Source organism: Homo sapiens, chromosome 19, assembly GCF_000001405.40.
Source record: "Homo sapiens chromosome 19, GRCh38.p14 Primary Assembly".
In the NCBI taxonomy this organism is placed as follows: Eukaryota; Metazoa; Chordata; class Mammalia; order Primates; family Hominidae; genus Homo; species Homo sapiens.
The window spans coordinates 38,581,201-38,606,066 of NC_000019.10; the positions used below are offsets into that span (position 1 = coordinate 38,581,201).

At 49.9% G+C, this 24,866-nt stretch overlaps 2 protein-coding genes and 1 long non-coding RNA gene across 9 annotated transcripts in view, besides 2 other annotated features; 2 read left to right on the forward strand and 1 right to left on the reverse strand.

The window, feature by feature from the left end:
• The window catches only part of RYR1 (ryanodine receptor 1), a 153,874-nt gene extending 147,510 nt beyond the window's left edge, over positions 1-6,364 (forward strand). For all 5 annotated transcript variants that reach the window (NM_000540.3, XM_011527205.3, XM_006723317.3 and 2 more), the window contains 5 exons: positions 3,743-3,899; positions 4,738-4,802; positions 4,891-4,991; positions 5,325-5,376; positions 6,125-6,364. In NM_000540.3, coding sequence (NP_000531.2) covers positions 3,743-3,899; positions 4,738-4,802; positions 4,891-4,991; positions 5,325-5,376; positions 6,125-6,220 — 471 coding nt within the window. In that variant the 3' untranslated portion in view covers positions 6,221-6,364. The remainder of the gene's footprint in view (positions 1-3,742; positions 3,900-4,737; positions 4,803-4,890; positions 4,992-5,324; positions 5,377-6,124) is intronic.
• Positions 2,709-2,958: an enhancer, noted in NCBI's record as "active region_14578". NCBI's record gives its function as "activates an Ori minimal core promoter by ATAC-STARR-seq in GM12878 lymphoblastoid cells {active_cell/tissue: GM12878}" and the evidence as "EXISTENCE:reporter gene assay evidence [ECO:0000049][PMID:35858748]".
• MAP4K1 (mitogen-activated protein kinase kinase kinase kinase 1) overlaps positions 6,441-24,866 on the reverse strand; it is a 30,313-nt gene continuing 11,887 nt past the window's right edge. For 2 of the 3 annotated variants that reach the window (NM_001042600.3, XM_011526404.2), the window contains 14 exons: positions 24,368-24,530; positions 24,209-24,291; positions 20,241-20,325; positions 18,877-18,953; positions 18,725-18,785; positions 16,286-16,394; positions 16,126-16,184; positions 15,834-15,937; positions 15,112-15,286; positions 14,739-14,801; positions 14,440-14,529; positions 14,285-14,355; positions 12,082-12,137; positions 6,441-6,617 (listed from right to left, as the gene is read on the reverse strand). In NM_001042600.3, the coding sequence (NP_001036065.1) occupies positions 6,548-6,617; positions 12,082-12,137; positions 14,285-14,355; positions 14,440-14,529; positions 14,739-14,801; positions 15,112-15,286; positions 15,834-15,937; positions 16,126-16,184; positions 16,286-16,394; positions 18,725-18,785; positions 18,877-18,953; positions 20,241-20,325; positions 24,209-24,291; positions 24,368-24,530 (1,266 nt within the window). In that variant the 3' untranslated portion in view covers positions 6,441-6,547. Of the gene's footprint in view, positions 6,618-7,977; positions 8,076-12,081; positions 12,138-14,284; positions 14,356-14,439; positions 14,530-14,738; positions 14,802-15,111; positions 15,287-15,833; positions 15,938-16,125; positions 16,185-16,285; positions 16,395-18,724; positions 18,786-18,876; positions 18,954-20,240; positions 20,326-24,208; positions 24,292-24,367; positions 24,531-24,866 lie in introns of all 3 variants that reach the window. The other variant, NM_007181.6, reaches the window with a different exon arrangement.
• Positions 15,147-20,494, forward strand: MAP4K1-AS1 (MAP4K1 antisense RNA 1). Its single transcript, NR_134907.1, has 3 exons — positions 15,147-15,236; positions 16,053-16,195; positions 20,213-20,494. It is a non-coding gene; the product is annotated as an MAP4K1 antisense RNA 1 (long non-coding RNA).
• Positions 15,534-16,034: an enhancer, noted in NCBI's record as "H3K4me1 hESC enhancer chr19:39087374-39087874 (GRCh37/hg19 assembly coordinates)". NCBI's record gives its function as "activates a minimal SCP1, AML or CMV promoter by ChIP-STARR-seq in naive H9 embryonic stem cells {active_cell/tissue: H9 hESC(naive)}" and the evidence as "EXISTENCE:reporter gene assay evidence [ECO:0000049][PMID:30033119]".

Here is a 24,866-nt window from a genome sequence, read left to right on the forward strand (position 1 = left end):
CCGAGTAGCTGGGACAACAGGCGCCCGCCACCACGCCTGGCAAATTTTTTGTATTTTTAGTAGAGCCGGGGTTTCACCATGTTAGCCAGGATGGTCTCGATCTCCTGACCTGGTGATCCGCCCGCCTGGGCCTCCCAAAGTGCTGGGATTACAGGCATGAGCCACTGCGCCCGGCCAATTTTTGTATTCTTAGTAGAGACGGAGTTTCACCATGTTGGCCAGGATGGTCTCCATCTCTGCCTGTGCCGTCGTGATCTGCCCACCTCGGCCTCCCAAAGTGCTGGGATTACAGGTGTGAGCCGCCGCACCTGGCCATGTCAGATACTTTGAACAGTGCCAGGCATATGAGTGCTCCACACCTCTTCGCCATTGTTTCAATATTATTTGAGCTGAGGTTTTTTGTTGTTGTTGTTCCTGAGACAGAGTCTCGTTCTGTCACCCAGGCTGGAGTGCAGTGACATGACCTCAGCTTACTGCAACCTCTGTCTCTCAGGTTCAAGTGATTCTCCTGCGTTAGCCTCCTGAGTAGCTGGGATTACAGGCGCACACTACCACACCCAGCTGATTTTTGTATTTTTAGTAGAGATGGAGGTGGGGGGGTCTCACAATGTTGGCCAGGCTTGTCTCGAACTCCTGACCTCAAATGATCCACCCACCTCGGCCTCCCAAAGTGCTGGGATTACAGATGTGAGCAACTGCACCCGGCCTTATTTGAGCTTTTCAAACTATTATTATTGGAAAGGTACTCAGGGAGCGTGCCCCTGCCACTTATGAGCCGTGTGATTTTGGGGCAGGCTACTCAACCTCCTCCCTATGCCCTGGGGGCCTCACCTGTAAAATGAGTGTGTAATAGTAGTTGCTTTTAGGACTAATAGGTGCTCCCTGGCTATCGAAGACTTAAAAGACTTAGACCATTGCCTTGCACGGTGGCTCATGCCTGTAATCCCAGCACTTTGGGGGGCTGAGGGGGGCAGATTACCTGAGGTTGGGAGTTTGAGACCGGCCTGACCAACATGGAGAAACCCCATATCTACTAAAAATACAAAATTAGCTGGGCATGGTGGCGCATGCCTGTAATCCCAGCTACTCGGGAGGCTGAGACAGGAGAATCACTTGAACCCGGGAGGTGGAGGTTGCCATGAGCCGAGATTGCGCCACTGCACTCCAGCCTAGGCAACGAGAGTGAAACTCCGTCTCAAAAAAAAGGAAAAAAAAAAAGACTTAGACTAGTGCCTGGCACATCCTCAGGATTATATAGATGTTAGCTTCTATCATCATTATCCACAATTAAAAGTTTCACCCAGGCCGGGCGCAGTGACTCACGCCTGTAATCCCAACACTGTGGGAGGCTGAGGCAAGAGGATTGCTTGAGCTTAGGAGTTTGAGGTTGCAGTGTGCTATGACTGCGCCACTGCACTCCAGCCTGGGTAACACATTGAGACTCTGTGTCAAGTTTAAAAAAAAGTTTCACCCAAGGTATACCCAGCGTTCAATGCACATTTATATTTTCTCTTCTATTCTAATAATGGTGATCATAACCCAAATTGATGCGAACTTACTAGAGACACAGGCCACAATCCACAATTAAAAGAATCATTTCTGGGGTTTATCTCCAAAGATGTCCTGCAGTCTGGCTCCGTGGGTTCCTCCCTGCTCTCAGGACAAAGTCCAGCTCCTCAACCTGACATCTGAGGCTCTTCCAGACACGGCCTCGCTGCCCACAGCCTCGTTCTCATTATAGTCACTTATCTTAGTTTTTACTCTAGGATGACTGTGTTCTCTCACATCCTGGGGACACGGAAAGAACAAGTGTATGCCGGGCGCTGTGGCTCACGCTTTTAATCCCAGCATTTTGGGAGGCCAAGGCAGGTGGATCATCTGAGGTCAAGAGTTTGAGACCAGTCTGGCCAACGTGGTGAAACCCTGTCTCCACTAAAAATACAAAAATTAGTGGGATGTGGTGGTGGGCGCCTATAATCCCAGCTACCTGGGAGGCTGAGGCAGGAGAATCTCTTGAACCCCGGAGGCGGAGGTTGCAGTGAGCCGAGATCACGCCATTGCACTCCAGCCTGGGCAACAAGAGCAAAACTCCATCTCAAAAAAAAAAAAAAAAGAAAAAAGTACAAAAATTAGCTGGGTGGGGTGACACGCACCTGTATTCCCGACTACTCAGGAGGCTGAGGCAGGAGAATCTCTTGAACTCGGTGGTGGAGGTCGCAGTGAGCCAATATTGCACCACAGCACTCCAGCCTGGGCAACAGAGCAAGACTCTGTCTCAAAAAAAAAAAAAAACATATGTAAAGTTGTTCCCAAATGCCAGGTAGACCATGCTCCCTCCCCACCCCCACTCAGACCCTTCTTGTGGCTCCCCAGCCCACTGTAGATAAAGTCGAATCACCCTGCCGTGGCTTACAAAGCCTGGGAAGGGCTGGCCCTGCCTGGGTCTAACCGCAAACCCTCTTGCTTTTTGCTTTCTAGCCGCCTGGTCCTCTTTCAGTTCCCCTAGGACTGTGTGTTTTCTCCCAATTCAAGCCCTTTGCACCTGATGTTCTCTCTGTCCCCTACCCCAGGCCTGACATACACACACACCCCATTCACTTGATACCTCACCTTTCCACTTAAATGCCACATCCTACAGGAAGCCCCTTGACCGCGGGCTGGGCCAGGGCCCACAGAGCCACATGCCCAGGCCCTGCCTCATCTCTCCCTGCTCTCCTGCACAGGAGCTCTATTTTCCAGCCTCACCCAACCATTTTCAGTTCCTCACAGCAGCAGGATGTACTCTTTCCTCACTGATGGCGAGGCAGCATGTGGCCTTCTCTGCTGGGAACACTCTCCCACCACCCCTCCACCTAAGGCCTCCTTTAGGTTTCAGCTCACACCTGCCTCCTCTTCCAGGAAGCCTCACCTGATCACCTAGGCTGGATCAGATGCCTCCAGCGGGCTGTTAAAGCTTCCAGTGCTTCCCCTAGCTCATCCCTGGTCACACTGTGCCTCCCCACCCCAGCCTCGACCCTCTGCCTGTGCCCCTCCCATCCTCGCCCTCACCCTTCTGCCTGTGCCCCCCTATCCTGGCCCTGATCCCTACACCTGTGCCCCCCCCCACCCATCCCGGCCCTCATCCCTCCGTCTGTGCCCCCCATCCATCCCGGCCCTGACCCCTCTGCCTGTGCCCCACTATCCTGGCCCTAACCTCTCAGCCTGTACCCTCCATCCTGGCCCTGACCCCTCTGCCTGTGCCCCCCACCCAACCTGGCCCTGACCCTTCTGCCTGTACCCCCCATTCCAGCCCTGACCCCTCTGCCTGTGCCCCCCCATGCTAGCCCTGACCCCTCTCCCTGTGCCCCCCTATCCTGGCCCTGACCCCTCTGCCTGTGCCCCCCTTATCCTGGCCCTGATTCCCCTGCCAGTGCCCCCCATCCCAGCCCTGACCCCTCTGCCTGTGCCCCCCTTATCCTGGCCCTGACCCCTCTGCCTGTGCCCCCCATCCTGGCCCTGACCCCTCTGCCTGCGCCCCACACCCAACCTGGCCCTCACCCCCCTGCCCGTGCTGTTCCTGTCACAGCCCTGACCATTTCTGGCTGTTGGTCCCTGTCTGATGCCGTATCTGTGAGCCCTTTGAGGGCAGGGCCCAGGGCTGTCTCAGTCGTTACCATGTCTTCAGCCCTGCCTATCCCGGGGCCTTGGCTGGTACTCAGTGAATGTCGAATGAATGAGTGACCAGTGTGCTCCCCTCCCTCAGTGTTACCTGTTTCACATGTACGTGGGTGTCCGGGCTGGCGGAGGCATTGGGGACGAGATCGAGGACCCCGCGGGTGACGAATACGAGCTCTACAGGGTGGTCTTCGACATCACCTTCTTCTTCTTCGTCATCGTCATCCTGTTGGCCATCATCCAGGGTCAGTGCTGGGAGTGGGCGCTCAGGGCCCGGAGGCAGGCTAGCTCCATGGCTAAGAATGCAGGCCCAGGATCCAGTCGGCCTGCATTCATACCCCATCTCTACCTCTCGCTACTGTGAGACCTTGGGCAAGTCACCTCTCGGGGCCTCCGTTTCTCCATCTGCAAAACGAGGGTGTCAATGGTACTAACCTCATAGGTTGTGATCAGGATTAAGTCAGTTCATAGGCGCTCGGTGTCTGGCTCATATGAGTGCTCAATAAAGGCCTGAGATATATATATATATATATGTTTATTTATATATATATGTGTTTATATATATTTATATATGTGTTTATATATATTTATATATATGTGTGTGTGTCTATATATATATATGTATAATTTTTTTTTTGAGAGGGAGTCTCGCTCTGTTGCCCGGGCCAGAGTTCAGTGGTGCAATCTTGGCTCACTGCAACCTCTACCTCCCAGGTTCAAGCGATTCTTCTGCCTCAGCCTCCTGATTAGCTGGGACTACAGGCACATGCTACCACACCCAGCTAATTTTTTTTATTTTTTTATTGTTAGTAGTGAGGGGGTTTCACCATGTTGGCCAGGCTGCTCTTGAACTCCTCACCTCAGATGATCCGCCCACCTCAGCCTCCCAAAGTACTGGGATTACAGGCGTGAGCCACCGCACCCGGCCAATAAAGGCCTAATACTATCTTCTTAGGAAGCGAGATTAGGGGTGAGATTAGGGAAATGGGGGATGGAGGGCAAGCCCTGGAGGTAGGTAGCTGGAGAGGGGGGAGTCTGAACCAGGTCAGAGGTCGGGCACTGACTTGTGTCCTGCCACCCCAGGTCTGATCATCGACGCTTTTGGTGAGCTCCGAGACCAACAAGAGCAAGTGAAGGAGGATATGGAGGTAGGTCATGTCTGGGGGTGACCCAGAGGGATTACGGGATTCAGGGGGTCAAGTGGGCCTCCACTCTGATGTCTCTTGCCACTCACAGACCAAGTGCTTCATCTGTGGAATCGGCAGTGACTACTTTGATACGACACCGCATGGCTTCGAGACTCACACGCTGGAGGAGCACAACCTGGCCAATTACATGTGAGCAGACACACTGGCCAGTCAGGAGGGTGGGGGGCATGGCTGCCAATAGCCAGCAGTGGGGTACTTAGCTTTGGCCAGTTAGGAAAGGGGGTGTAGTGTCCATGTGGGCAGATTCCCTGCCAGCCAATCAGAAGGTAAGGGTGGGGCCCCGCAAGATGGTTCACACCTGTAAGCCCAGCACTTTGGGAGGCCAAGTGGGGAGGATTACTTGAGGCCAGGAGTTCGAGACCAGCTTGGGCAACATAGCAAGACTTCCTCTCTACTATAAATGAAAAATAAAATAAGGTAAGGGTGGTTCTGACTTGTCTCCTGTGGTCCTCTCACCCTCAGGTTTTTCCTGATGTATTTGATAAACAAGGATGAGACAGAACACACGGGTCAGGTAAGGGGGTGTTAATGGGAGGACAGTGGGCAGGACGTGGAGCCCTTTAACATAAGGCCAGTCAGTAGGTGGCAGTAAAAAGCTCCTATCAATATCAAGGGTTAGGGCTGGGGGCTGGGCACGGCGGCTCACGCCTGTAATCCCAACACTTTGGGAGGCCAAGGCGGGTGGATTACTTGAGGTCAGGAGTTCAAGACCAGCCTGGCCAGCATGGTGAAATTCAGTCTCTACTAAAAATGCAAAGATTAGCAGGGCGTGGTTGTGCATGCCTGTAATCCCAGCTACTTGGAAAGCTGAGGTGGGAGAATCGCTTGAACCCAGGAGGCAGAAGTTGCAGTGAGCCAAGATCATGCCACTGTACTCCAGCCTAGGTGACAGAGCGATACTCCATCTCAAAAAAAATGGGTTTGGGCTGGGCGTCCTGGCTCACGCCTGCAATCCTAGCACTTCGGGAGGCCACAGCGGGAGAATTGCTTGAGACCAGAAGTTCAAGACAGCCTAGGAACACAGCGAGACCCTTTCTCTATTAAAAAATTAGCCAGGGGTGGTGGTGTGCACCTGTAGTCCCAGCTACTCTGGAGACTGAGGTGGAGAATCGCTTGAGCCAGGAGGCTGTAGTGAGCTGTGATTGTCGCCACTGCACTCCAGCCTGGGCAACAGAGCAACACCCTGTCTAAAAATATATATATATATATGTCTCAAGGGTTTGAAGATGTGACCAATGAACTCTTTCTATCCCCAATCCTAGGAGTCTTATGTCTGGAAGATGTACCAAGAGAGATGTTGGGATTTCTTCCCAGCTGGTGATTGTTTCCGTAAGCAGTATGAGGACCAGCTTAGCTGACACACCCCCAGCTGGCCCTCCACCCCCACCTCAAGTGCCTTATTCTCACAGCAAGCCCCTTAGTCCCCAAGCCCCTCCCCCTAAGGCAGCTGGGGGAGAGGTGACCTAGTACTGGAAAATAAATCTGTGCTACGCCCCCCAGCATCACTGTGTTGGCCTGCTGAAATTTTGGAGGAGTGGACATCCAGGAATTGTTTCCCCCAAGAAAAACAAGATGACAGCAGAGGCTAAAGTCATGTTTATTGGGAGATGAGGACATGCCATGACCACTAGTGTGTCTATGGGGGAGGGGGTGCAAGGACTAGTTCCTGACACCCCCCTAGGGACTCATTCCTGGATGTAGAGGTTGCTGGGAGCAGTAGGATCATCCACTGGGCGTGTCTCCACCACTACAGGCCTGTGGAAGGAAGAGATAAGTCAGTTCATTTATTCATTCATATGTTCATTGATTCATTAATTCACAAAGTAGTTAATAGAGACTGTGCCAGCCCCATGCTGAACTATAGCAGTGAATGGGCAGACACGGTCCCTGCCCTTAGGAAGCTTGCATTCTAGAGAAGGAGATCAACATGAATCAGTGAATTACATGAGTGCAAAAAAGCATGGCATGTCTGGCAGGGAAACCTAACCCAGGAGGTCAGCCCAGACTCCCCAGAGAATGGATGGTGCAGCCTGAAGGGGGGTTAGGAGGGAACTTGGTGAAAGGGCAAGGAAGAGTGTTCTGGCTGGGGAGAACAGCCTGTGCAAAGGATTTGAGGTGGGAGAAAGGCTGGGACTTGGCTGGAGATGTCATGGCCTTGTGGGCTGTGGCCAGGATTGAGTCTTTATCTTGAGGCCATGGGAGGATTTTAAGCAGGGAGACAGTGACACGATCAGATTTGGATTTAAAGTGACCCTTCTGGCATGTCAAAAGGACACAGGGGCTACTTAAAGTGGTTCCCACTGGCTAAATTTAAGACCATTTGTGCCTCAAAATAAATAATGACAAGGCCGGGCATGGTGGCTCATGCTTGTAATCCCAGCACTTTGGGAGGCCAAGGGGGGCAGATCACTTGAGGTCAGGAGTTCAAGACCAGCCTGGCCAATATGGTGAATCCCATCTCTACTAAAACTACAAAAATTATCCAGGTCCATCCTGGCTAACACGGTGAAACCCCATCTCTACTAAAAATACAAAAAAAAATTAGCCAGGTGTGGTGGCAGGCACTATAGTCCCAGCTACTCGGGAGGCTGAGGCAGGAGAATGGCGTGAACCTGGGAGCCAGAGCTTGCAGTGAGCCGAGATAGCGCCAGTGCACTCCAGCCTGGGCGACAGAGCGAGCCTCTGTCTCAAAAAAAAAAAAAAAAATTTATCCAGGCATGGTGGTGCACGCCTGTAATCCCAGCTATTCGGGAGGCTGAGGCAGGAGGATCGATTGAACCTGGGAGGCAGAGGTTGCAGTGAGCTGAGATCACACCACTGCACTCCAGCCTGGGTGACAGAGCGAGACTCCATCTCATAAATAAATAAATAAATAATGACAGTAATAGACTATAACCCACAGAATAAAAATCCATGAGACCATGCTGGTATAAAGAAAGAAGAATGGAGAAGACACAGCTCTTCTTTAGAGTAGAATGCCAACTAACACACGCAGAAGGAAACATAGAATCAGAAAATCACCATTTATTGTTAGTAGCCACCTAACAATAATAGATTCAGGGAAAAATCAATTGATTCTAAAACTAGTGGGCAGGCCAGGTGCGTTGGCTCAAACCTGTAATCCCAGCTACTCGGGAGGCTGAGGCAGGAGAATTGCTTGAACCTGGGAGGAGGAGGTTGCAGTGAGGCGAGATCGTGCCACTGCACTCCAGCCTGGGGGACAGAGTGAGACTCTGACTCAAAACAACAACAAAAGACAAACAAAAAACAATAAAACTAGTGGGTGAAAATCTGATGAGAAACAACGTATTTACAGACTATTTACCTCGTCTCAGTGAATCTCCCCAAAAGATACTTCTTTTTTTTTTTTTGAGACAGAGTTCACTCTTGTTGCCCAGGCTGGAGTGCAATGGCGCGATCTCGGCTCACTGCAACCTCCGCCTCCCGGGTTCAAGCGCTTCTCCTGCCTCAGCCTCCCGAGTAGCTGGGATTACAGGCATGCAACACCATGCCCGGCTAATTTTGTATTTTTAGTAGAGACAGGGTTTCTCCACATTGGTCAGGCTGGTCTCAAACTCCCGACCTCAGGTGATCCACCTGCCTCGGCCTCCCAAAGTGCTGGGATTACAGGCGTGAGCCACCGCGCCCGACCGGTGGGATACTTCTTATTACAAAGAAAAACAGAGGCTGGGTGCGGTGACCCCTGCCTATAAGCCCAGCACTTTGGGAAGCCTACACAGGTGAATCTCTTGAGTCCAGGAGTTCCAGACCAGGCTAAGTAACATGGCGAAACCCTGTCTGTACAAAAAATACGAAAATAAGCCAGGTGTAGTGGTACGCGCCTGTCATCCCAGCTACCCGGGAGGTTGAGGTGGGAGGACTGATTGAACCCAGGAGGTCGAGGCTGCAGTGAGCCATGATCGCGTCACTGCACTCCAGCCAGGGTGACAGAGAGAGAATCTATCTTTAAAAAAAAAGAAAAAGGGAGAAAAAAGCAACTTCACAGTGGAGAGAACTGGCTGATTCTACCTTAACCAAATGACCGAAGTTAATATCACCAGTAATGGGACAAACTAGCATTGTGTACTTCCTGAAATGATGCACTGAGAAAGACATCTTTCTGCAGTATTCCTGCCCAAAATTCAGAACGTGGAAACCTCAAACACAGTTAAGGGACATTTTAGAAAACAAATTTCCTTTAATTTTTAAAAAGGTCAAAGCTCCTTTAAGACAAAAGAAGTTTTAATTATTTTTTCCGGCTTAATTATAAAGAAACATGGCTCCTAAGTGCCACCTATGATCTTGGACCAGAAAAAAAAAAAAAAAAAAAAAATATATATATATATATATATATATATATATATATATATATATAATCACGGGCGTCACTAGGACAACGGGTGAAATTTTTTGTTGTTGTTGTTGTTGTTTTCTGAGACAGAGTCTCGCTCTGTCACCCAGGCTGGAGTGCAGTGGCGTAATCTCGGCTCACTGCAACCTCCACCTCTCCGATTCAAGTGATTCTCCTGCCTCAGCCTCCCAGCTGGGATTACAGGCACGTGCCACCACACCCAGCTAATTTTTGTATTTTTACTAGAGGTGGGGTTTCTCCATGTTGGCCAGGCCCATCTCCAACTCCTGACCTCAGGTAATCTGCCCACTTCAGCCTCCCAAAGTGCTGGGATGACAGGCGTGAGCCACCACACCTGGCCAACTGGTGAAATTGAGTAGGGGTATGAATTAGAAGGTTGTGATGTTTCAGTGTTGTTTTCTTGATTTTGACAGCTGTGCTGTGGTTTGTAACATTATGTCCTTGCTTTGATTCAGGAAACATACACTGAAGTATTTTAGGGGTAAATGGGCATCACGTCTGCAATTCATTCCCAAATATTCATTAAAAAATCACACACACACACACACACACACACACACACACACATATACTTGTATGTGTGGTGTGTGCGCATAAGAAAGAGAAGAGGCCGGGCATGGTGGCACATGCCTGTAATCCCAGCTACTCGGGAGGCTGAGGCAGGAGGAGTGCTTGAACCCAGGAGTGGGAGGTTGTGGTGAGCTGAGATTATGCCATTGCACTCCAGCCTGGGCAACAAGAGCGAAACTCTGTCTCAAGAAAAGAAAAAAAAAAGAATAATAAGGCAAATGCGGTTAAAAAGATTAACATCTGGCCAGGTACAGTGGCTCACGCCTGTAATCCCAGCACTTTGGGAGGCAGAGGTGGGTGGATCACCTGAGGTCAAGAGTTCGAGACCAGCCTAACCACCATGATGAAAGCCCACATCTACTAAAAAAACAAAAAAATTAGCTGGGCGTGGTGGTGTGCAACTGTAGTCCCAGCTACTCAGGAGGTTGAGACAGGAGACTTGCCTGAACCCGGGAGGCAGAGGTTGCAGTGAGTGGAGATCCACTGCACTCCAGCCTGGGCCACACAGCAAGACTCCATCTCAAAAAAAAAAAAAAAAAAAGATCTGGTTAATCTGGATAAAAGGGATTTTTGCAACTTCTCTGGGAGTGTGAGTTTTAAATTATGTCAAAATAGTTAAAATAGTTATTTTTAATAGTTAAAAATTTTTAATAAGATAAAAATCTAAAATAAAAATGCAGCCAGGGCTGGGCACGGTGGCTCATGCCTGTAGTCCCAGCACTTTGGGAGGCCGAGGCGGGCAGATCACCTGAGATCAGGGGTTCAAGAGCAGCCTGGACAACATGGCGAAAGCCTGTCTCTACTAAAAATACAAAAATTAGCCGGGCACAGTGGCACATGCCTGTAATCCCAGTTACTCGGGAGGCTGAGGCAGGAGAATCGCGTGAACCCAGTGGGTGGAGGTTGTGGTGAGCTGAAATCACGCCACCGCATTCCAGGCTGGGCAACAGAGCAAGAATCCGTCTCAAAAAAAAAAAAAAAATGCAGCCAGGTGTGGTGGCTCATGCCAGTAATCCTAACATTTTGGGAGGCCAAGGTAGGAAGATTGCTTGAGGCCAGCAGTTCAAGGACAGCCAGGGCAACATGGCAAGACCCCGTCTCTACAAAAAAATTTTAAAAATTAGCCAGTTGTGGTGGTGTATGCCTGTGGACCTAGCTACTTGGGAGGCTGAGGTGGGAGGATCAGTTGAGCTCAGAAGGTCAAGACTGCAGTGAGCTGTGTGTGTAACACTGCACTTCAGCCTGCGCAACAGAATGAGACCTTGTCTCAAAAATGAAATAAAATTAAGGCCAGGTGCAGTGGCTCACTCCTGTAATCCCAGAACTTTGGGAGGCCAAGGCAGCTGGATCACCTGAGGTCAGTAGTTTGAGACCAGCCTGGCTAACAAGGCGAAACCCCGTCTCTACTAAAAATACAAAAAATAGCCAAATGTGGTGGTACACACCTGTAAACCCAGCTACTTGGGAGGCTGAAGCATGAGAATCACTTGAACCTGGGAGGCAGAGGTTGCAGTGAGCTGAGATTGTGCCACTGCACTCCAGCCTGGGCAACACAGCGAGACTCTGTGTCAAAAATAAATTTTAAAAAAATTTTATAAATAAAAGAATTAAAATTAAAAAATAAAAGGATTGGCCAGGTGCAGTGGCTCATGCCTATAATCCCAGCACTTTGGGAGGCCGAGGCAGGTGGATCACCGAGGTCAGGAGTTCGAGACCAGCCTGGCCAACATGGTGAAATGCCATCTCTACTAAAAAATATAGTATTAGCCGGGTGTGGTGGCACATGCCTGTAATCCCAGCTACTTGGGAGGCTGAGGCAAGAGAATCGCTTGAACCTGGGAGGCAGAGGTTGCAGTGAACCAAGATCACACCATTGCACTCCAGCCTGGGCAACAAAAGCAAAACTCCATCTCAATAAATAAATAAATAAATAAATAAATAAAAGAATTGCTGGGCATGGTGGCACATGCCGGTAGTTCCAGATACTCAGGAAGCTGAGGTGGGTGGATCACTTGAGCCTGGGAGGTCAAGGCTGCAGTGAGCCGTGGTCGTGCCATTGCACTCCAGCCTTTGAGTACAGTGAGAAACAAAACAAAAAGAGAGAACGCCCCCGTGGCTGCAGTGCAGAGAACAGACTCTAGGGAGCAGGGATGGAAGCAGGGTGACCAGGTGAGACACTGTCCAGGCTAGAGATACCTTGCTGGGGACACCTCAGAATGCTCTCTTCACATCAGAAGCCCCCTCCCAGGTCCTTCTGCACCCCACCCCACAACATACCTGGGGGAGCCAAGCAGACGGAAAGTGAGGGTAGGGTCTCTCAGCTCCTGTAGCAGCTAGGGAAAAAAAGTGTGTGTCTCAGTGCCTGGAAGATACCTCCACTGTCACTACGAACATGGCTCCCTTAAAGACAGCAAGGAGCTGGGCACGGTGGCTCACGCCTGTAATCCCAGCACTTTGGGAGGCCGAAGTGGGTGGATCACCTGAGGTCAGGAGTTCGAGACCAGCCTGGCCAACATGGCAAAACCTCGTCTCTACTAAAAATACAAAAATTAGCTAGGCATGGTGGTGCGCGCCTATAGTCCCAGCTACTCAGGATCTGAGGCAGAAGAATCACTTGAACCCGGGAGGCAGAAATTGCATTGAGCTGAGATTGCGCCACTGGGCGTGCCACTGGAGCCGAGATCTCCAGCTGAGATAATTTTTGTATTTCTACTGAAAATACAAAAATTAGCCAGCTGTGGTGGCGCATGCCTGTAGTCCCAGCTACTTGTGAGGGTGAGGCACGAGAATCGCTTGAACCTGGGTGGCAGAGGTTGCAATGAGCCAAGATTGTGCCACTAACACTCCAGTCTGGGGAACAGAGCGAGACTCCATTTCAAAAAGAGGGAAGGAACTGAGTGAGCAAAAATAAATAAATAAAAATACTAAAGTGTAAGGGCAAAGTCTGACACAGTATTCTGTGAGATAAACACCATTTTCCAAATGAGGACAGTGAGGCACAGGAAGGTTAAGTCATTTGCCCAAGGCCACTCAGCTGAATTCCAACCCAGACAGTCTTGTCTTAACTATCCATATATCTCTATAGTGGTCCCCATTTTACAGTTGGGGAACAGAAGCTTAAAGAGAAGCAACGTTGCCAGCCCAAGGTCACAGTAGTGGCCCAGGATGAGATTGGGACTCAAGAAATCCAAGAGCAGCCAGGTGCAGTGGCTCACACCTGTAATCCAAGCCACTTGAGAGGCTGAGGAGGGAGGATTGCTTGAGCCCAGAAAGTCAAGGCTACAGCTAGCTATGGTTGCACCACTGCACTTCAGCCTGGACAAGAGAGAGAGACCCTATCTCCAAAACAAACAGGCCGGGTGAAGTAGCTCACGCCTGTACTCCCAGCACTTTCGGAGGCTGAGGCGGGCAGATCACTTGAGGTCAGGAGTTCGAGACCAGTCTGGCCAACATGACAAAACCCCGTCTCTACTAAAAATACAAAAATTACCTGGGCATGATGGAGTGTACCTGTAATCCCAGCTACTCGGGAGGCTGAGGCAGGAGAATCACTTGGACCCAGGAGGCAGAGGTTGCAGTGAGCTCGGATCATGCCACTGCACTCTGCCCTGGGTGACAGAGCGAGACTCTGTCTCAAAAAATATATAAAAATGGCCAGGAGTGGTGGCTCACACCTGTAATCCTAGCACTTTGTGAGGCCAAGGAAGGCAGATTGGCTGAGCTCAGGAGTTTGAGACTAGCCTGGGCAACATGGTGAAACCCTGTCTCTACTAAAAATACAAAAAAATTAGCTAAGCATGGCGGCATGCACCTGTAGTCTCAGCTACTCAGGAGGCTGAGGCAGGAGAATTCTTTGAACCTGGGAGGCAGAGGCTGCAGTGAGCCGAGATCGCGCCACTACACTCCAGCCTGGGTGACAGAGCAAGAATCCATCTCCAAAAATAAATAAATTTTATCTATCTATCTATCTATCTATCTATCTATCTATCTATAAAATAGGCCGGGTGTGGTGGCTGACAGCTGTAATCCCAGCACTTTGGGAGGCCAAGGCGGGTGAATCACCCCAGGTCAAGAGTTCAAGACCATCCAGCCTGATGAACATGGTGAAACCCCGTCTCTACTGAAAATACAAAAATTAGCCAGCTGTGGTGGCGCATGCCTGTAATCCCAGCTACTTGGGAGGCCGAGGCAGGAGAATCGCGTGAACCCGGGAGGTGGAGGTTGCAGTGAGCCGGGATCGCACCACTGCACTCCAGCCTGGGCAACAAGAGTGAAACTCCGTCTTAAATAAATAAATAAATAAAAATAAAATAAAAAATAAATCCTGGGGCAAAGAAGGGGATCTATCTGAACTGAAATTTGGAAGATGTTTCCCCTCCAGGACTTCACACTCTGACTCAGGAGTTCTCGGAGCCCATCTGATGAATGTCATGATGGAGGCTGGGGGGCAGTGATGTGGAGTTTGGATGGAGGGGCTTACCTGATCCGAGCCTAGAGCCCACACCTGCACTCCATGCTTCCAGAAGGCCTGAAGCTGACCTCCAACCATAGCTGGGGAGAAAGCAATGCCCGTTACCCTTGGGGATCACTTGAGTTTCCACCCCTGATCCTGGGCTCTCCCGTCCCTGCACAGACCCACGGCCTCCACCGCTTCGGTCATGGGGATCTCAGGTGTGCGAAGTCCCCGGACTGGGGACCCCTCCGGGGTCACCAGCTTCACAGAGCCTGGAAGGAGATAGACGGTTTTAAGAACTGTGAGCAAGGCTTAGAGGGTTACTAAGGGACCAATCCATAAATTCAGTGTGAAAGCTATGTAGGACAGGGGCAAGGCCCAGAGGGGCTCAGGGGGTTCTGAGAAGCACAAGTTCGGAGGCAGAGATCTAGGGACTGCAGCTGGAGGGGTGGGGAGGAAGGGGAGGAAGGAGGGTTCTCACCATCCATCAACACCATCACCATATCTTCCTCTACCTGGGTCACCTGCACGGGTCCCCTGTGCTCTGTTTGGGGGGAGTGGGTTAAGGATTGACCCCACCCCATTCCCCTTTCCCCACACCACCCCCAGAAGGCCAGTACCTGTGCTTTAGCCACCGCCTCAGTTCACAAGCAAGTGGGCTAAACCCCGCCCACCATCCCGGTCCCACCCCATCATCAATCTCCCCAGTTAACTAAAACCTGCCATTCTCCCTTCTCCGCCCTTCCAGCCCTTTCTCAGTCCCGTAGTGCCTCAGGCTAAGCGAAGCCCCGCCTCCAGCTCCGCCCCTCCGGATCTGATAAGCCCCGCCCTCAGCAAGACTCCGCCCCACTCACCGGTGCTCATCTCGCCCAGCCAGCAAGAGAGCGCGCCAAAGCGCACCGTGTGGAAGAGCACCGACTTCCCCGGCCGCCCGGGGCTCACGCCGATGCACACAGCGGGCAGCTCAGAGCCTGGCCCGGTCAGCAGCGCGAACACGGACAGAGGCGTCGGCAGTGGGAACAGCACCTGCTGCGGGCCGCACAGGGAGGGGCGGGCTAGGGGGTGGTTCAGGACGGGGCCTCAGGGGGCGTGGCTTGTAGCTGGCCTGGGACTTCCGAACCAGGGCCCTAAGTCTTGGGGGATGCCGTCTAGAAATGTCAGGGGATAAGGCCTGGTGCCTCCGCGGGAACGGGGGTCGTGACCTCCGAGTGGGTGTGGCTTCCATGTGGGGGCATGCCACCTTGGCGGCAGACGGGCAGGGCCCCAAAGATAGCAAAACCTGCTTAGACACTCAAAGAGACAGGCTCTAAATGGGCTCTACTAGGACACCCAGGGAGTGGCAGCATTGAGCCTGAGGAATAATTAGGCCCAGGTGTGAGGGGCGGCGCTTAAGGATCAGGATGGCTTCAGAAGGACGAGGCTCCAAGCGCAGACCGCAGGTGGGCGGGGCCTCGGGAGATTGGGGCGGGGCCTCGACGGAGGTGGGGCTTCATGGAGCTCTTGATAGAAGCGCAAAGGGTGCAAGGCCTTAGCCACCCACTCCTCAGAGTTCCCAGCACCCTCCCAAGCCCCTTACCCGGACAAGCAGGAATTTGTTCATGGGCTGGTACCACTGAAGCAGGACAACGGACGTCTCCAATGCACCGCACAGGAACGGGCCCCCAGAGCTCGCACCCTCCGCTGTGGCATGGGCAAGGATGAGTCAAGATCAATGCCCTCTATCCTCCTCGCCACCCACACTACCACCCATCTTCTGGGTTCTGGACACATTGCCTTAACTCTGTAACCTTCTCAGGTGGATGCAGTTCAAGCCCCTCCTCTGGCCTGGCCCCGCCCACTCTCTGCACACCCGTGAAGCTCTCTCTCACCCACACAGCACGCCCGGCAGCCTTTGGTGTCCTGGATCTTGGTGGAAACCATGTTCTTCCTGGAGAATAGGTAGGTGTGAAGGGGGGTAGGACAGCAGGAGGCAGAGGGGCATGGGAGGAATTATAAGGCTGTGTGGTGCCATTCATTGGGAGCTGGTACCTTGCCAGTAGGCGGTGGGGGCTAATGTGAGCGATGGGGTTTCCTGCTCTGGTCTCTTTCCGTTCCAGCAGGCCAAGGATGCTATGAGAATACAGGTGGGGGGTCTTTCCTGCAGGGTGTGTGTATGTAGGGGGAAGCAGGAAGTTATAGGATCCCATATACCACTTCCTTTCCTCCATCCCTTCCCTCAGCCCCATCCCTTTGTCTGAAACTCCCAAGCCTGCAAGTCTCAAGTACTTGTCATTCATTCATTCATTTCTCACTCCACATAGATTGAACGTCCATTGTAGGCCAGGCCTGCTGTGCTTGGCTCTGGTGAACAGTGATGAGCATAAAAAATATGTTCCCTACCCTCGTGGTATTTGTAGCCGTATCAGAAACTCTGGACACATAACCAGTCAGATGAAGTTACACATCTTACAAAGTTTTAGAAGAAACACATCTAGAAAATCTTCTAGTTTGTCATCACAGATGTGGCTTTCACTAACTCATGAATCCCATTTGGCTTGGTGTTTCCCCCAAAACTAGAAATTATTTCATTTATTTATTATTATTATTATTATTTTAGACAGTCTCGCTCTGTCACCCAGGCTGGAGTGCAGTGGTATAATCTTGGCTCACTGCAGCCTCTGCCTCCCAGGTTCAAGCAATTCTCATGCCTCAGCCTCCCAAGTAGCTGGGAGTAGAGGTATGCGCCACCATGCCTGGATAATTTTTGTATTTTTAGTAGAGACGGGGTTTTACCATGTTGGCCAGTCTGGTCTCGAACTACTGACCTCAGGTGATCTACCCGCCTCGGCCTCCCAAAGTGTTGGGATTACAGGTGTGAACCACCGCACCCGGCCTATTTATTGTTATATATAGACAGGGTCTCATTCTGTCTTCCAGGCTGGAGTGCAGTGGTGTGATCATGACTCACTGCAGCCTCTAACTTCTGGGCTCAAGTGATCCTCCCACCTCAGCCTCCCGAGTAGCTGGAACCATAGGTGTGTGCCACCACACCCAGCTAATTTTTTTTTAATTTTTAGTAGAGACGAGGTCTCACTATGTTGCCCAGGCTGATCTAGAACTCCTGGGCTCAAGCAGTACTACTGCCTTGGCCTCTCAAAGTGCTGGGATCACAGGCATGAGCCACTGCACCCCGTCCAGATTTTGAAATCTATAACTTGCTCACTCTATCTTAGTAAAGTATGGAATAAGTTCTGATTGTCATCTGAACATGAAAGCTATTTAAAGACTAACTTAGGGCTGGGCACGGTGGCTTACACCTGTAATCCCAGCACTTTGGGGGGCTGAGACGAGTGGATCACCAGGTCAGGAGTTCGAGACCAGCCTGGCCAACATGGCGAAACCCCGTCTCTACTAAAAACACAAAAAATTAGCCGCGTGTGGTGGCAGGTGCCTGTAATCCCAGCTACTTGGGAGGGTGAGGCAGGAGAATCGCTTGAACCTGGGAAACGGAGGTTGCAGTGAGCCGAGACTGCGCCACTGCACTCCAGTCTGGGCAACAGAGTGAGAGTCTATCTCAAAAAAAAAAAAAAAAAAAAAAAGGACTAATTTAGGCCAGGTGCGGTGGCCCACACCTGTAATCCCAGCACTTTGGGAGGCCAAGGCGGGTGGATCACCTGAGGTCAGGAGTTTGCGACCAGCCTGGCCAACATGGTAAAACCCCATCTCTACTAAAAATAAAAAATAAAAAAAGTAAAAAAAAAAAAAGCCAGTCATGATGGCTCACATCTGTAATACCAGCTACTCGGGAGGCTGAGGCACGAGAATTGCTTGAACCCAGGAAGTAGAGGTTGCAGTTAGCCAAGATCACGCCCCTGCACTCCAGCCTGGGCAACTGAGTGAGACTCGGTCTCAAAAAAAAAAAAAAAAAAAAAGGCTAATCTAAGGCCAGGTGTGGTGGCTCATGCCTGTAATCCCAGCATTTTGGGAGGCCAAGGCAGTTGGATCACCTGAGGTCAGGAGTTTGAGACCAGCCTGGCCAACAGGGTAAAACTCTGTCTCTACTAAAAATACAAAATTTAGCCAGGTGTGGTGGTGCACACCTGTAATTCCAGCTACTCAGGAGGCTGAGGCATGAGAATCACTTGAACCTGGGAGGCAGAGGTTGCCGTGAGCTGAGATTGTACCACTGCGCTCCAGCCTGAGTGACAGAGGGAGACTCTGTCTCAAAAAAAGAAAAAAAAAGACTAATTTATTGTAGAAACTACCTCAAAATTGACTTGAGAGGTGAGGACTATTGTGAACCCCATTTTACAAATGGAGAAATTGAGGCTTGGGGAGCACAGTCAAAAAGTGTCTGGGATTTGAACCTAGGACTTTGTGACCAAGCAGTCTAAGTTTTTTTTCAGCTGTGCCCGTCTACTTCCCAGCCCCCGAACCCTTGGACCCCTTAACTTCCGACCCCATCCCACCTGCTACCCACAGCCAGACCTGAGAGAGACATGAGAACGTTGTTGATGGAGTACACCCACGTAGTCCGGCTAGGAAAGAGCTGCAGGGAATGGGAGAGATGGCTCTGGTGACACCCCAGCAACCCCCGACTCCGGCCCTTGCCCTTGCCCTGGCCCGGTATGGTTCCTCACCATTTCCAGCGTGGCCTCCTGGTCATTCCGGTTCAGGATGAAGATGCCTTCCTCTGCCCCCAGGAGCAGGTGCTGGTCTGGAGGCACAGACAAGGACGCTGGGACCGACTTCATCCTCAGGGACCTCCCAGATCCCCACCTGTCTGACCTCAAACACTGACACTCTGTCCCCAGCTCTGACCCTCTATTCTTTCTCCAAACCAATACTCCCAGCCTCTGTTTCCCCAAACAAAGCCAGAGCGGACGGTCCCGCAAGCCAGTCTCACTCTCCCTCCTTTTGACTACCCATATTCTGGTGGTTCTTTCTTCTCTGCCCAACTGTCTTCTGAACCAAACTGACCCCAACCTTAGACCTGTCCCCCAAAATAGTCCTCTGATTTCCTCCCCTCTTTCTCCCCAGTTCTGATACCCTAATGCCAATCCTAACATTGACCTTCAAACTCAGACACCCCCAAACAGGACTTTTTCTGTCCAGTGTGACCTGTTCCTTTAACACTGACCTTGTCTTCATCTCTTTGATCTCTAGATTCTGTCCCTTTCTGGCTGCATCCTAATCTCTAAAATTCCTCACCCCAAAATGCTGCTCCCAGTCTCCCTATCATTAACCTCCAGCTGTCCATCTTTCTCGTGCTCCAAACTCTAACCTTTTTGTTATATTCTGACACTCCTGGCCCCTGAATTCCAATATTCCTACTTTCACTCTCCAACTCATCCCTCTACCCATTTTTTTTTTTTTTTTTTTTTTTTGAGACTGAGTCTTGCTCTGTTGCCCAGGCTGGAGTGCAGTGGCATGATCTCAGCTCACTGCAACTTCCGCCCCCTGGATTCAAGCAATTATCCTGCCTCAGCCTCCTGAGTAGCTGGGATTATAGGCACGTGCTACCACGCCTGGCTAATTTTTGTGTTTTTAGTAGAGACGAGGTTTTACCACGTTGGCCAGGCTGGTCTCAAACTCCTGACCTCAAATGATCCGCCCGCCTCCGCCTCCCAAAGTGCTGGGATTACAGGCGTGAGCCACCATGCCCGGCCTACCTAGCTTCTTTTGTATTTTTAGTAGAGACGGGGTTTCACCATGTTGGCCAGGCTGGTCTTGAACTCCTGACCTCAAATGATTCACCCGCCTCAGCCTCCCAAAGTGCTGGGATTACAGGTGTGAGCCACCACACCTGGCTGCCCTCTATGCATCTTTGATCACCAAATCCTGAGTGTAAGGACAAGCTCCGCCCCTGTTTCAGCCTGGCCACACCCCAACTCCATTAAGCTCCTCCCCGTCCCTGCCTTTGTGCCTTCCTTAGGCTTCTCCCCACCCCTACTTTTGCTCTCCCATTCCCTACAGGATCTCCTTGACCCTCCAGAATGCCCACCCTTGGTGGAGGGATGTGTCCAGGCGGCCGTGCTGTGGATCCGGAGGGGGCAGCCATTGAACAACTTTACGAGAAGGGCACATCCCTGGGCAGGTCGCCGCGGGGCCAGGCAGCAGATCCGGCAAAGAGAGCAGGGAACAGGAAGGGGCAGTGGTTACGACTTTGGAGCGAGAGTGCCAAGGTTCAAATCCTGCCTCTTACCTTGGTGCAATTTCCCATAATCTATCCCTGTAATACACTTTTTCATACATTGAGTTTTCTTTTCAGTTTGTTTTTGTTTTTTTTTGTTGTTGTTATATATTTCTTTTTTTAGTTTTTCCTCCACTATCCTAAATCATCAGCATTTGTTTTTTTTAAGACAGAGTCTCACTCGGTTGCCCAGGCTGGAATGCAATGACATGATCTCAGCTCACTACAACCTCTGCTTCCCAAGTTCAACTGATTCTCATGCCTAAGCCTTCTGAGTAGCTGGGACCAAAGGCGTGTGCCACCACACCCAGCTAATTTTTGTATTTTTAGTAGAGATGGAGTTTTGCCATGTTGCCCAGGCTGGTCTTGAACTCTTGGCCTCATGTGATTCACCTGCCTCAGCCTCCCAAAGTGCTGAGATTACAGGCGTGAGGCACCACTCCCAGCTGTCAGTTTTGTTTTTGGAGATGGAGTCTCACTCTGTTGCCCAGGCTGGAGTGCAGTGATGCAATCTCAGCTCACTGCAACCTCCACCTCCTGGGCTCAAGCAATTCTTCTGCCTCAGCCTCCTGAATAGCTGGGATTACTGGCACACAACACCACGCCTGGCTAATTTTTGTATTTTAGTAGAGACAGGGTTTCGCCATGTTGGCCAGGCTGGTCTCGAACTCCTGACCTCAGGTGATGCGTCTGCCTTGGTCTCCCAAAGTGCTGGGATTACAGGCATGAGCCACTGTGCCTGGCCAGCATATATATATATACACATATACATATATATATAGACACACACACACACACACACATATATATACACACACACATACATATATACACACATATACATATATACACACATATACATATATACATATATACACGTGTACATATATACGCATATACATATATACACATATACATATATATACACACATATACATATATACATATATATACACATGTACATATATACGCATATACATATATATACACATATACATATATATACACACCTATACATATATACATATATACACATGTACATATATACGCATATACATATATACACACATATACATGTATACATATATACACACATATACATGTATACATATATACACATGTACATATATACGCATATACATATATACACATATACATATATACACACATACATATATACATATATACACATGTACATATATACGCATATACATATATACACATATACATATATACACATGTACATATATACTTATATACACATGTACATATATACACACATGTACACATATACGCATATACATATATACACATACATATATACACACATATACACATGCACATATATACGCATATACATATATACATATACATATATACACACATATACATGTATACATATATACACATGTACATATATACGCATATACATATACACATATACATATATACACATGTACATATATACACATGTACATATATACACATGTACATATATACGCATATACATATATACACACATATACATGTATACATATATACACATGTACATATATACGCATATACATATATACACATACATATATACACATATACATATACACATATATATACACATGTACATATATACGCATATACATATATACACATACATATACACACACACATACATGTATACATATATACACATGTACATATATACGCATATACATATATACACATATACATATATACACACATATACATATATACACATGTACATATATATGCATATACATATATATACACGTATACATATATACACACATATACATGTATATGTGTGTGTATATATGTATATGTATATATGTATGATTAATTATGCTATGCATTTCATCTTTGAATCATTTCCAGTGCTGGAGGTATAAATTATACATACTTTTAGCCGGTAGCCAACCAGGCACGGCTGTAATCCCACCAGTTTGGGAGGCCGAGGTGGGAGGATCACTTAAGCCCAGGAGTTCAGGACCAGCTTGGGCAACATAGTGAGACCCTGCCTCTATAAAACATTTTTTTAAAAATTAGCCAAGCTGGGCCGGGCGCGGTGGCTCACGCCTGTAATGCCAGCACTTTGGGAGGCCGAGGCTGGCAGATAACTTGAGGTCAGGAGTTTGAGACCAGCCTGGCCAACATGGCAAAACTCCGTCTCTACTAAAAATACAAAAATTAGCTGGGCGTGGTGGTGGGCGCCTGTAGTCATGGCTACTTAGGAGGCTGAGGCAGGAGGATCACTTAGACTGGGGAGGCAGAGGTTGCAGTGAGCCAAGATAGCACCACTGCACTCCAGCCTGGGCGACAGAGTGAGACTCCATCTCAGAAAAAAAAAAAAAAAATTAGCCAAGCGCTACTAGGGAGGGTGAGGTGCATGGATTGCTTGAGTCTCCGAGGTCAAGGCTGCAGTGAGCCATGATCGCGCCACTGCACTCCAGCAGCCTGGGCGACAGAGCGAGATACTATCTCAAAAAAAAAAAAAAAAAAAAAAAAAGACTTTAGAGAGTTCTAATTCATTTTATGCATTTGTTGGCAAATTTGATGCCACAAAGGTGCATTATCACAACACTGACTACGTGTGTAGGCATTATGCATGTACGTAAAAACACTGAAACTTCCTGAATAAAGAGATGTTCTTTTTGTACATCTCCATTTATGAGAGGTAAAATTTCTTGAGATCTTGGCTCTTTGGGCAACTGCATATGTGGTAGTGACTCATGGAGGTTTTGATGGATCTTGTCAAAAGACTCTAACTTCTGGACTCAAGCAATCCTCCCACCTCAGCTTCCCAAGTAGCTGGGACCATAGGTGTGTGCCACCACGCCCAGCTAATTTTTTAAATTTTTAGTAGCTGGGCGCGGTGGCTCATGACTGTAATCCCAGCACTTTGGGAGGCCGAGGCGGGCAGATCACAAGGTCAGGAGATCGAGACCATCCTGGCTAACACGGTGAAACCCCGTCTCTACTAAAAATACAAAAAATTAGCCGGGCCTGGTGGCGGGCACCTGTAGTCCCAGCTACTCGGGAGGCTGAGGCAGGAGAATGGTGTGAACCTGGGAGGCGGAGCTTGCAGTGAGCCGAGATCGCGCCACTGCACTCCAGCCTGGGTGACACAGTGAGACTCTGTCTCAAAAAAAAAAAAGCATGCCAGACGCGGTGGCTCATGCCTGTAATCCCAGCACTTTGGGAGGCCGAGGCAGGTGGATCACCTGAGGTCAGGAGTTCAAGACGAGCCTAACCAACATGGTGAAACCCCACCTCTACTAAAAATACAAAATTAGCCGGGCATGGTGCTGCATTGCCTGTAATCTCAGCTACTCCGGAGGCTGAGGCAGGAGAATCACTTGAACTAGGGAGGCGGAGGTTGTAGTGAGCTAAGATCGCGCCACTGTACTCTAGCCTGGGCAACAAGCAAAACTCCGTCTTTAAAAAAAAAAAAAAAAAAGCAGAAACAACAATCCTGCCTCAGCCTGCCTCCTCAAAGGTATTTATATGACCTTGGGTAAGCCACTTACCCTCTCTGTGCTTCAATTTCCCCATTTGTGAAATGGGGGATAACATCTCTGTGATATCTTCTTCACTCTGTGAAGCTTTATGCCATGTAATGATAGGAGATAAGTGTAGGGCACAGAGAAGCGCTCAACAAATGTCACCTGTTGTTACTGTCAGTCCTGCCACCCCCTCCCCACCCCACCAGGCATCCCCAGCCCCGTCCAGAGGTGTAAGTCCTCAGCAGAGCTGAACCTCACCTTTCTCTTCATCTTTTCCTTCTTGGGGGGCAGAAGTGGGGGCTTGTCAAGCTCCCGGGAGGGTGGGTTCCAGAGTGAGGGTTCTGAGAGGGGTTAGGAGAAAATCAGCCCCCAAGAACCCCCAACCCTCCCGCCCTCCACCCTAGCCTGTCCCATTACCTGAATGGGCGGTGAGGTGGGGGCTGCTGGTGGATGGGGGAGGCCCAGGACGGGGGCTGTTTGGTGGGGGCCCACTGGCACACCGGACCAGCACCCCCGGGCTCAGCTGCCCATCATCCCCCATGCTCCCAGGACCCTCGTCTGATGGAGAACGGAACTTGGGCTTTGGAGACGGGAATGGAGCGTGGGGAAATACATCAGATGATCTCAGAGAGGGCACCCTTTTGCAACTCAAGTCCCTGCCTCCACCAGAACTAACAGCTGTGGCTCTGACCCACCCCCCCGACAACATCTTGTGCCCCCTCCAGCCTTCCCCTGACATCCCCAGCCTGGACATCAACACACTTCAGAAACTAATGGGTTAATGCTGGATATATAGCAGGGGCTTCCTAGGACCAGCTACTGACCAGTGTCTAAGAGGCTAAATATTTTGAATCCGACCCTGAGGTTGAGGGATGCCACTTCCAGATCCCAATGTAGCCATCATCCTGGTCTCCCC